A 13,058-nucleotide genomic window follows, 5' to 3' on the forward strand; every position below is an offset into this window, starting at 1 on the left:
GTGAGCCACCGTGCCTGGCCTAACCTTCATGAGTTTAAAAAAGTCCACAGGTTTGAGTGAGAGAACTTGGAGAGCGGGAAGGTCACAACCCAGCTCAGATGGTAGACGCAGGGAATGGAAAAACGGGTGACCACCCACATTCCCCTCTGGCATCGTCCCACCACCACGGGCTGAGCGCACACAGAGCGGAGGTCATGTCCTGTTCCTTAGGTGCAACAGGGTTGAAGGATTCTCAATCTCTTCTTCACCAAAATACTTTTTTTTCTATTTAGATGCTTTCCTCTCCTTGTAACATTATGACTGTTTTTTTTATTCCCGCTTGGCTGTGATATTTTTGTGTAAGTCAAATATCAATATAGTTTTCTTGAGAAAAGCACTATTAAAGATTGATACCCCGTTTCAGGCTGTATTAAGTATACATTAGTAATTCACTGGCTATAAAAGCACTTATAGACACAGATGTATTTAAGATACATTATTGTATGTTATATTAGACATTTTATATTTCTGGGACGATCTCAAATATTTAAAACAGTAAATATATTTTTTAGCTTCATCAATAGGTACTGAATTAAGTAGGTAAGGTTGAGGCTTGAAAATGCAACTTTAAACTTTTGAAATTAAACGTTTAATTTTTAAAAACTTAATAGGAAACTTTTGAATTAAAAATAACTTAGGGTAGGCTGGGAGGATCGCTCACATCTGTAATCCCAGCACTTTGGGAGGCTGAGGCAGGAGGATCACTTGAGGCCAGGTGTTTGAGACCAGCCTGGGCAACATGGGGAAACCTTGTCTCTACTAAAAATACAAAAATTAGCCATGCATGGTGGTGGGCGCCGGTAATTCCAGCTACTTGGGAGGCTGAGGCAGGAGAATCGCTTGAGCCCAGGAGGCAGAGGTTGCAGTAGCAGAGATCACACCACTGCACTCCAGCCTGGGTGACAGAGTGAGACTCCGTCTTTAAAAAACAAAAAATAGTGTTATATGAACGTTTCTTTTCTTTTCTTTTTGAAACGAAGTTTTCGCTCTTGTTGCCCAGGCTGGAGTGCAATGGTATGATCTCGGCTCACTGCAACCTCCACCTCCTGGGTTCAAATGATACTCCTGCCTCAGCCTCCCGAGTAGCTGGGATTACAGGCGCCTGCCACCACGCCCAGCTAATTTTTGTATTTTTAGTAAAGAGGGGTTTCCTTACGTTGGCCAGACTGGTCTCGAACTCCTGACCTCAAGTGATCCATCCGCCTCAGCCTCCCAAAGTACTGGGAGAACTTTTCTTAATGACTCAAGATGGTAAGTGTGAATGCCAGGGATTACATTGTGTCTAAGCAGGGCTGTCTTCATGGCTGGGGTTTTACGGCTTATGGCCTCGGGATTGGCTTGTGTGCTTTTATTCTTCTGTGCTAGTTCTTGCCTGAGTTGTCATTTCTGACTAGTGACTAGGGTGCCTGCCTGTAGCCATTTGTTTTCCTCTATTCGTCCCTAATCTGAGGTGGGGTTGTATCTAGCCTATTAATCTTATTAGAAACAAATGTAAACTAAATATGTGCTTTGCTTCTAAAGAAAGACTAACGTTCTATAAGAAAAGTGTTTTGATTTTGTGAAGAACTTTCTGAAATGAACTACATTTCTTGACAGGGTTTTTGATTCCTAAGTCCCAGGAGGTTGGGAAAAGTTTGCCAGAGGGCTAAGAAATAGGCAGGTGAGGTGTTAATACTTAGCTTTAGGGTACAGTGAATTTGGGTACAGATCTGTGTTTTTTGATAGATTTTCCTGAAGCTGGTATTGAAATTCTGTTTCCTTGTTTAGATACAAGCTATGGGTTTCACTGATGAGTGGGGAGGGCTGTGGCGGGAGGAAAGGAACTGGTTTGGTAGTTGGCAGCAAAGAAATAGATGAGCGGTAGGATGGTTAGTCATAATGAGGTTGCGACTGCTAAACTGGCACTGTGGAATGTGTCACTCTGGAGTGAACTGCATGGTCTCTTGGCACTGTGGAGCATGTCACTCAGGGGCGAACTGCGTGGTCTCTTTGCGTTTGGCTCCCTGTGTTGTTTGTGGCTGGGCTCTCTCTTGGCAGATGTGATGTGTACTTTACTTGCTTTGCCATCGGCATGCCTGTCATCAACCCACCATCTAGCAGTTGCTCAAGTGCTGTTGTCATTATTCAAATCAAACTAGAAACTGTCTTTTCATGAGTGTGAACATGTCAGCTGGAGCTAGAGGAGAAGCATCAACTCAGGTCCTCTGCCGAGCAGACAGAGATGGAGTTAGGAGTAAGAGAGGTTTACTGGGGACAACCTCTCTGAACGATGAAGATGGGGAGGGGGTGGGATTGGGCCCAGAAAGCCTTCATGTGGCGACGTTGATCTGATGGCTGTGACAGAAACGAGAGAAGCAAGCAGAGCTGGGCAGGGCAGGTCTCAGACCGCACTGCCCATCCGATGGGACCCTCTCATACTGGGTTGGCAGTGTAGAGCCAGTGGCACAGTTGCCTTCTTAACAATGGCTTTGGCCGGGCGCGGTGGCTCACGCCTGTAATCCCAGCACTTTGGGAGGCCGAGGTGGGTGAATCACGAGGTCATGAGATCGAGACCAGCCTGACCAACGTGGTGAAACCCCGTCTCTACTAAAAATACAAAAATTGGCCAGGCGTGATGGCACACACCTGTAATCCCAGCTACTTGGGAGGCTGAGGCAGGAGAATCGCTTGAACCCAGGAGGTGGAGGTTGCAGTGAGCCGAGATCACGCCACTGTACTCCAGCCTCGCCGACAGAGTGAGACTCCGTCTCAAAAAACAAAAACAAACAAAACAATGGCTTTAACTACTTGTAGAATTTTAAGAGATACTCTGGTCTTAGAAGCATCACATTTACTGATCTTCTGTTAGAGTGGCTGGTGTTTCGCATTTTATAAGTAAATCCATTTTGTCTGTAGTTTGCATGGAGTTCCGTTTCAGAGGGTGTTCCTAAACTCTGGAGGGATATAATCCCTTGATTACTGCTTCTCCCCCTCACTGTGCCCCACAGCAATGTCTCCTGATACAGGGGTGTGGCCCAGCCTCTGACTGTCAGCACAGAAAAAGGGAGCTCTGGACCTGATACGAGACTCCTTGATTGTGGCCCTCCTTGCTGCTAGTGCGTTGGCAGTGTATGTAGAGTCGAGTGTGCCATAGACACTCAGCTATGATTCAAGATTGTATGTCAGACATTAGTGAGAGCTTGGCACCTTTCCATCAGGGTTCTGTAATACTTGGCTCATTTGTAAGTAGTGCCTTTGGCAGAATGGTGAGCTCTGCCCAGGAGCAGCACAATGCTTTTATTACTTAGGCCTATAATACCTTATCTTCATGGAATTATGGATCATAAGGATATCATACTGTACAGGTAGTATATTTGGTTGTATCAACTTATACATTTCATTTCGTAGCTCATTGATATTAAAAGCCTTTCATTCAAGGGGGGAGCTAATAATTTATACAGCTAGAAATTCAATAAATTCAGGAAGAGTGCCAAGAATGCCAGGCCTCTTGTCTTTCCTATCCCTGCCAAGCAGTCACCTGCCAGACTCCGTTCATTCCTTTAATCTGCTTCTGAGGTCAATTGCTGCCTCCTTGGCATCCCAGACCCTCTGACTTATAATTAGAGACCCTTCCTTTGTGGCAACACCTTACCTGATTTGTATCTGTTATAACACATCTTATTCTACTTTCTTGTAATTTTGTACAAGTTTCCACTACTAGATCATTTTGGTTTGTTATAGTTGGTCTATCAAAATAGTTTTTCCATTCTCTACTCCTTGCCCTCCTCTTCAGAGAAGTGTCGTGCAGGGAAGCAGAGCTAGGAAGGTCTTTCTTTCTTGTGTGTCTATCTGGCTATGGGGTGGAGGAGAGCACAAACTCAAAGGAGGGGGCACTCTGGGAAGTCCAGACCATAGTTGTTCATGTTGCAGCATATGTGCTCATGGCTTTGTCTCACTGCACGGGATGTTCTTCTCCATCTTTACCCTTTGCTTTGGAAGCTTTTAGATGAATCCCAGTTGCTGACTTTACAGTAAAAGGCATCTTAAATCTCTCCAACCAATCACCCTTTTCCCCAGCTGGAAGTACTCGTCTTTCTCTTAGACTCTGAACATCCATAGCTCTCACTGTCTCCGCTTCTTCCACTCTCACAGGTGCTAATAATGGTAATATCAGTAGGGCACAGTCCACACTTATACAAGTGGACATCTTGTTAACTGGGAAGGCAGACACATAAGCAGAATAATTCTAATGTGGAAAATGCACAGACTGGACTGCTGCACATGGTTACGTTGGTCATGTGAGACTGAGAAATGTGCTTTCTGGAATTGCTGTCTGCCCACCTGTGCCTTGGGGCCCTATGCATAGAGGAGGGGGGATCTAACCCAACCCAAGAGTGTGCGACAAGGGAAGACATCTCAGAGGAGAGAAAGCCTGGGCTGTGTCTTAAGGGGTGAGTAGTAGGCAGGCAGAGAACCGTCGGAGAGGAAGGAAGTCCAGGTGAAAGGAAGCACTCCACATTCGAAGCTGTCTTAGTTATTTCCACATTGGTCTGTTTCCTCTCCAGACTACAAGTGCTTTGAAAGCAGGGAGAGGGTTTTTTAACTTCTGCGTTATGCACACAGAATGCCCAGAATTTATGGTGACGGAATGACTTCCTGTCTGCTTGAGCCTTTTTGCCTGCCTCCTTGACTTACTGAATTCTTATACATGTTCCTATCTTAAACAGGGGTGTCCAATCTTTTGGCTTCCCTGGGCCACATTGGAAGGAGAAGGACTGTCTTGGGCTACCCATAAAATACACTAACACTAACGGCAGCTGATGAGCTAAAAAAAGAAAACAATCCCCCAAAAACTCATCATGTTTTAAGAAAGTTTACAAATTTGTGTAGGGCCACGTTCAAAGCCGTTCTGGGCTACATGTGGCTTGTGGGCCACGAGTTGGACAAGCTTGCTCTAGAATACGTTAATCTTTAGTATTTGGGACTTGGCCTTTCCTGGCTTAAGCACCCAGTACCATCACTGCTACCACCGCTAAAGCCTGTGAGTCTGGAATGGCTACTGGGATTTCTTTTTAATGCATAGACTCTAGGAGTATACTTTTATTTTTAACAACCCCACAAAACCTAATAAAGATAAAAGATTCAGTTAGTCAACAGATATTTTATTATTTCAGGAAACTCTTTGAAATGCCACTCTCATTTATATAAAGGTCAGATAGATGATTTATGTAGGTAAAAGGACATATCAATGATCATATAGATAAGGATCATATTAATGATTCTTATAGTAACAAAAAAATGCACCTGTGGGCATTGAGCTGGTTGCTTCATTACTCCTTGCCCCATTTTTATTATCTCTAAAAAATTATCTCTAAAAATAAGCATGCTCCTCATATGATTGTTATGAGGATTGGATGGATTTACACATACAGAATGCTTAGAACAGTGGTAGGCTCAACAATAGTTGTGCTTTTTACCACACTCATCTATGGCACCTTAGTGACATGGCAAAGACAACAAATCGACCTGGCAACCCTGAGTCGGTTGTGGAGGCCTTGGATTCAGATGATTGCATATGCATCTCTTTGGCAGTGCTCTTGCTTTTTAAAGATTTTCTCATATTTTAAACTTTCTCACTTCTGTGTCTGAGAAGAAAACGTGATACACAAAATGTCAACTCAACAAGAGAGTCGGGAAAAGCCATCCTACTGGGGAAGTCTATTTTGTGTCAGTGGAGTTGGGAACAAAAGTGAATGAGCTGGCCTCTGTAGTGACTTGCTCAAATCTGACTGCATGTATTTAGTGGGTTAAGACTGCTGATGGAAGTAGAGCATTGGGTTCATATGACCAGTGATTGTAAGCAAACAGGACAGGATAATTGGCATGAGAAACTGGGGCTATAGTTGAAGCAAATGAATGTGTTTTTCTCTTGTACTTGACTGTTGACTTCCGTCTGCTTGGAGCCTCCACCTCCCCAAGAAAGATTAGAAGGAATGTCAAGAGAAACATCAAGACGTGTTCATCGTATGTCTTTCAAAAATAGCAGGATTAGGCAAGCCAGCCTTTTGTTTACGAGGAGACTTTGTAGACTAATTCTTCTTTGTAATACATACAATACTTAATTGTATATATTAATCTGCCTTATATAGTTATATTATAAATATCTCACACTTACAAGAGTTGGATGGCTTGACTCTCAACATTTTCCACATTAAAGAAGAGATACCTAAGCAGGTTTTTTGTTTTTGAGATGAGGGTCTTTCTGTGTTGCCCATGCTGGCCTTAAACTCTTGGGCTCAAGCAATCCTCCCGCCTCAGCGTCCTGAGTAGCCGGAATTTACAGGTGCACTCGCCATGCCCTGCAGAAGCCTCATGTGTTAGGGCGCACCTGCAATTCCAGCCACTATAATTTTAAGGAGTGTTTGGAATCCAGAAGAATGGCATGAGGGAAGTGCATTAAAACACTTGCCTGTTTTTGATTTCCAGAAGGTGGAGTGGAAGGCAGGAGGAGGAAAGAAAGCAATGTAATGAGATACACCTTGATGTTTCTCTCCGTGGGGAAAGTTTTCCCAGTTGGAGAGATGAGGTGTGTGGGATAAGTGAGGATAATACTGAGGAGCAACAGGGAGGTCCCGTTTTCTTGAACTGCCTACTTGTGCTTCCCATGTGGTCTGGGAGCTAATCTGAAAGCTCCTGGGGCCTCTCTGGGACCTCGCTTGGTAGGGTTGTGGAATGAGGCTGACAGAAGGTGGCAGAGAGAGCACAGCAGGTGCTGTAGTCTCTGCAGAGGGAGCCCAGGTGAGGCAGAGCCATCTAGGGAACACAGATGCCCTTTGACAAAGCCAAGCCAGACCAGTCACAGACATAATCCAAATGCCAGCAAGGGGACCAGGGATGTCATTCTGCAGACCAGAGGAGGCAGAAGGCATTTATGTGTAAGGATCCCAACTATTCCCCATGCCCCCATCTCTACCCTCCATGGATCCAGCACCATTTTCAAGAGAGAAGCCAGAGGACGATGAAGTGATTTGGGAGCTAAAGCATCCTTATTCAAGGAAGACTGAATACCACTTACTTAAACTTTTCACATTGGACTGAGCTACCAACAAAACTGGACATTTCCATTTTTTCCCAGCTTTCTATACAGGATGATGCCTTAGGAGGTGGGTCAGATTAGTTGCAGACTAAATTTAAAGAATTGCATTTTTCTCTGTCCACTTAAGACAGAATGCGAAATTTTGTGTTCGCTTGATTCACTCGTCAAACATGTTTACTGAATGCCTTCTGCATCCTATTTCCTGGGGATGCAGAGGTGATGAAGATGAGCATGGGCCCTGCCCTCCTGGAGCTCCTAGAGAATGTTGGAAGACAGAAAATGAACACACACATTTTATGGAGTGGTATGTCCATGCAAGAAATAATGTGTGGTGTTAGGGAATAAGTGAGAAGGGGAATGCTGTAGCTAGGGCGTGGTCACAAAGTGCTTCTGTGGGGAAGTGACATTTAAGCTGATGCCTGAGTGACAGGAAGAAGTTAGTTAGCAAAGACTAGGGAATGACATTCTAGGTGAAGAAAAAGCAAGTACCAGGTCTCTGGAGAAGGAACAGAGCTGATGTCTTGAGGAAAGAAGGTCATCATGGGTGGGGTTCAGGAGCAGCAGGAGAGGGGTCACTGATGTCACTGGGGAGGTAGGCTGGCTATGGGGTTGGTTGCAGTGAAGCCATGAGCCTTTGGCCAAGCTGTGTGGGTCTTCAAAATGCTTAGGACAAGGTTGGATGCAGTGGCTCACGCCTGTAATCCCAGCACTTTGGGAGGCCGAGGTGGGCGGATCACCTGAGGTCAGGAGTTCAATACTAGTCTGGCCAATATGGTGAAACTCCATCTCTACAAAAATACAAAAATTAGCCGGGCATGATGGTGGGTGCCTATAATCCCAGCTACTTGGGAGGCTGAGGTGGGAGAACTGCTTGAATCTGGGAGGCAGAGGTTGCAGTGAGCCGAGATTGCGCCATTGCACTCCAGCCTGGGCAACAGGGTGAGACTCCGTCTCAAACAAACAAAAACAAACAAAGAAGCAAACAAAATATGCTCAGGACAGGCAAACCACAGCTTCAAAGGAAACCGCCCCTCTCCTAGGTTAGCTGTTCAAAGATGGTGTTCATGCATATCGAATCAGCAATGAGATTTTAAAGCTGGTGTCCCTAACTTGGGCCAGTGTTGGGGTCCTACGAGCAATGGAGAATGTCTATCCTAGCAACAGAGGAAGTTGCTAAGGAGAAGTAACTGGACTTGTATTTTTAAAACTCAACCAATCCAACCCATATGAAAAATTACTCTGAGTTGAGTGTTTGAAACATAGCTTTTCTTTTTTGTTGTTGTTTTTGGTTTTAGATATGAAATACATTTCCTTAAAAGCACATTTGTCTTCATTTAATTTACAGGATAAATTTAATACATCTAAGGTATAAAATGGGTTTTGAGGAACAGAAGCCCAGTGTATATTGCTGTACTTATTGGAAACAAGACTTCAAATTACAGTGGCTCAACTTTCACCCACTGTGCCGGAGCCAACTAGGTTGTAAATAAAGTATCACCAGCACGTGTCCCTGCTCACATGCAATTACACCTGCAATGCTCTGCTTTTTCTCTGCACAGCCAAATCATAATCATTCTTATAAGCCTATTTCAAATGGCTTCCTGAATGAAATTGCCCTGTTTCTTTGGCCCCCATTGAGACTGGCAGCCATCTTTGTGCTTTGAATTTCCACATTTCTTGCTCTCTGTTGCTGTAAAAATGGAAGCTTATGCCCCTCTCCCTACCCACTACTTCACAAAATGCCTTCTATCCAGGAGGTGCTCAATAACTGAATGCATTCCACACCCAACAATATTTTAAATCATAAAGAATCCATGGCCTGTTACTTCTCTTTTCATCTTCTCTGATCTGAAACAAAGAAAGAAACCAACAAGTATTTGCAGTAATAAGAAATCCTGACCCATCAGTGTCGCTTTCCCTTTGTGTTTATTTCTTTTGAATTCTTGGGTAGAAGTGGATTGCAGATGCTAGATTTGGAGAGATGCAGTTTGTGCAAAGGAGGGTCTTGAAAAGGCCTTCGAAATGTGTCTGCCAAGGCTAAAATAATCACATTTTGTATTTGCACAGCATTTTCATTGTGTCTGTTTGATTAGGAGAAATAATCAGCCCAGTGCTTCCCCAGTGGCTGAACTGCTTTTGATGTGCCTGTGTTCTGAGGGATTATAAAACATCTTTGTAAATATGGGGTAGAGGCCATAGTTGAACTTGAAACTCTTTTGAGGAGCGGAATGTATGTGTATATGCATGCACACGTGCCTCATGTTACGAAGGCTTTGTAATGACTGCACTGTTTTCCTAGAGATTTTTCTGGGGGCAAAGAGAAAACTACACTTACATACTTTTCAAGTACCTAAAACATTAGAAAAAAGACATAACCAACTTCTTAACTCATGTAATAACAGTTTGAATACCTATGTTTACCAGGAAATTTCAGCTAATAGAAATTTAAGTGATTATTTCCTTGAGATGGGAGTTGGGATATAATCAGGTTGTGAATTGCAAAAGAACTTAATTTATATAAGGGCTCAGCAAACCATGGCCTGTAAAGTAAGACTGGTTTTTACGTTTTTAAAGATGTGTGAGGAAGAAGAAGAAGGAGAAGAAGAAGGAGGAGGAGGAGGAGGAGGAGGAGGAAGAAGGAGACTATGAGATAGAGACCATATGTGGCCACAAAGCCTAAAATATTCACCAACTGACACTTTACAGAAAAATTTGCCAACCCTTGATTTATGTAATCGATTTCTATTTTGCAGATAAGGAAACCAAGGCTCAGATGGTAGCCTGCTTACCTAAGCTCACAAGAAGCAACCTGTTCTATTAAAGGAGAATCAGATTCAAGTTTCTGCAGATCTGGCTTCTAATCATATCTTCCATTTGAGCTAATATGGTTTTGTGACTGATAGTAAGGTTTCCCTTTTGGCTCTATCGTTCTAGAGTTCACAGAGAAATGTGTGCAATGCAGTTCTAACACCAACTACCTGGAGTGAGGTCAGACTTTACAGGTTAAGGGCACAGTCCTCTAGATGATTGTCCATGCTTCAACGACCAGCTGCAGGCTGTGGGCTTCCCAGACCACCTGCACATCTGACCAACTGGCTACACATTCAGGGTTTCCTACTACTCCTCAAAGAACTCAGAAAAAATGCTACACTTATGGTTACAGTTTTACTACAAAGGGTACCAGTCAGGACCAGCCAATTGGAGATGCAGAGGTTGAGATCCGGGAGGGTCCTGAACATGAAGCTTCTGTGCTTCAAGATGTGTCACTTCCTGGCATACTGATGTGAATCACCAACCTGGGAGGCTCCCCTGAGTTTCAGTGTCCACAAGTTTTTATTGGGGTTTCATTATGTGGGATTATTAATTGGATCATTGGTCACATGAATTCAACCTCCATCCCCCTTTCCCCTTCCCAGAGGTTAGAAGGTCAGGCTTAATCACCCTGCTGAAACCCCCAACCCTCTAACCACATGATTGGCCTTTCTGGGATGGCTGGACCCCATTCTTAAACCATCTAGCAACCCACCATGAGTCATCATCTTAGCAGGAACTCAGGTGTGCACAGAGGGGCCCACCATGAATAGCAAAGATACTCCTATCACTGCGAAATTCCAGGGATTTAGAGGCTCCCTTACAGGAACTGAAGACAAAGACCAGACATATTATTGCACAACAGTGTCCAAGCCGGGTCTGACTCCACCTTGACTTTTCATTCTGTGCGTAAGGAGCACAGTTACAGACTGACTGACGTGGGACGGCCTGTGTGACTGGCGTTGGGAGGAAGACGAGGGTGGCCTGTGTGACTGGCGTTGGGAGGATGATGAGGGTGGCCTGTGTGGCTGGTGTAGGAAGGAAGATGAAGGTATTTCTTTCTGAAGTGTTTTTTTTTTTTTTTTTGAGATAATGAAACTTTTTTGCCAGGGAAATAACCTAGACATGTCTCAAGCACCTTTTGGAGTTTTAAACATTTTGAATTAAGTTAGGGTGAAAATACTGCAGTTTGGAGTGAAGGATTTTGTTTCTGTGTTACTTAAGGCAATGAAACAGTAATAATTTGCCCTTATGCTAACTCTTCTTTCATGTTTAATCCCTTATTTGAAGTTCTTAACTCCCTGACCTATTTAGTTTATGCTTTTATGTATGTTACATAAAAGTTATCATAAATAAACTAATATATACATACATATTATTATAATATTTAATGTATTGGAACAAATTTCAAAAACCTGTCAGCATTTTTCATTTTCTTCCTCAAAACCATCTCCATGGAATTTGTTTATGCAATGGATAGAAATTAGGTGTTGTCCTCACTTTTACCTGCTCCCCTGACAATGTAAGGTCCATCATTGTCCTTGCTTCCTCGCCAGTGACTTCCACATTCTTATTGCCACGCACACATTCCAAGTGAGTGAAACGATGAGGAATTTGAGTCATTCAGTAAAATGAAAAACATGACCAATCATGTGGTTAGAGGGTTGAAAATATGAAAATATATGTTTTGTACAATGAAGTGAACAAAGTGCATGGAGGAGACATCAACCAGAGAGCTAGAGCTGGTGGAAGGTGAGCTGCTGACTGAGTGTCCCTCCCCTTCCACCCCCTCATGCTTCTGTGGGTCACTGGTGTATCTACTGTAACTGATCTGCTCTCCTCTGCCCTTCCCTGTTCTTCACCTGTCCTCTTATTGCTGGTCTCTGGTGGGCATTCTCTACCATCTCTCTTGATTTCCTAACATTCTGTTCTTTCTCCAACCCCGGGCAGAAACTCTGAAGGCAGGAGGAGGAGGACAGGGGTGCTTATCTCATTAGTCTTGCACTTCCCACCCACTTTGGGGCTTCATCAAAACCTACTGGCCCAGATATTGCTGTGAAGACTTTCCTCTGCCAGATTCAGCCTCCTGGGTCTGGCTTGTAGCATTTAACAGCATCTGTGCTAGATTATCTAAAATCCTGGGCACCTGGTGGTGATCTACAGGTGAATAGGAATTTGTCCCTCCTCTTTAACCCTTTTTGCTTTTCCATCTTATAGGGAAAAACAGGTTCTCTGCATACTGCTTTACCACACTAGTTAAGATACGTGGTTATGAGAAGTTTATAGAATGATCAAGTGGTGGCTCATGGAACCCAAACCCCCTAATGCAGCTGGGATCTCGGAGAGGACTGGACCTAGGACCCAAAAAACTGCTGCCTCATCTCTATCTAAAAAAAAAAAAAAAAAAAAATTCCTTTCTCTGTCTCCTGGTCCACTCAGAGGGTAGAAGACGGCCATCTAGAGACCTGGTGTGTATATGTTAATAGGTCAGCCATATGCAGAAATGGTCCCTACCAGTTCCCATGTCAAAGTTCCCAGAAGAGAGACCCTTGGTGGCCCAATTTGGACCAAGTAACCATCCCTGGTCCAAAGAGCTGTAACAAGTAGATGGTATTGCACGGTATGACCTAGCTGATGGGCTCCCTGGCTTGTATGAGGAAAGAGGTCTGGTTCAAGGGAGACAGAGAAGGGAGCAGCTGGTTCAGCGGCTGGGCAGGTACCTAAAAGGCACCTACTACATTAGCCTCTTATGTATTCATTTGACATATTCTTTCAGACTGTCTACTGGGTGCTAGGCATGATCCAGGGCACTCTATCCAGGGATAGAGCTATGAATGAGACAAAGTCTCTGCCCTCACGGCCTTGACCTTCCACTCTCTTGTCTGCATTTCCACTTTGCAGGGTGGGGGCAAATTTAGTGCTTTTCTCTTTGCTTACTCTTGTTCTCTCAGTTCTTTCCCTTCCCTTTGGTTTCTTTCTCAGCTAATAGATATTTATTGAACTCCCACTCTCTGCTGACACAGCACCTGTTTAAATGGTGGAGGTGTAAGCATATACTCATTTTATGTGGTAGTATTTGCAAAATGCATTAACTCAGAATTATCTCATGAAACCTTAGTCATAATGTGCTTTG

General features: G+C 43.8%; 1 protein-coding gene across 7 annotated transcripts in view, besides 1 other annotated feature; it reads left to right on the forward strand.

Moving 5' to 3' along the window:
- Positions 1-13,058, forward strand: part of ATP8A2 (ATPase phospholipid transporting 8A2) — a 653,878-nt gene that overhangs the window by 80,159 nt on the left and 560,661 nt on the right. The gene's annotated exons all lie outside the window — the stretch shown is intronic.
- Positions 2,565-3,065: an enhancer, noted in NCBI's record as "H3K4me1 hESC enhancer chr13:26028835-26029335 (GRCh37/hg19 assembly coordinates)". NCBI's record gives its function as "activates a minimal SCP1, AML or CMV promoter by ChIP-STARR-seq in naive H9 embryonic stem cells {active_cell/tissue: H9 hESC(naive)}" and the evidence as "EXISTENCE:reporter gene assay evidence [ECO:0000049][PMID:30033119]".

The sequence above is a fragment of the Homo sapiens genome, chromosome 13 (assembly GCF_000001405.40).
Source record: "Homo sapiens chromosome 13, GRCh38.p14 Primary Assembly".
Classification (NCBI taxonomy): Eukaryota; Metazoa; Chordata; class Mammalia; order Primates; family Hominidae; genus Homo; species Homo sapiens.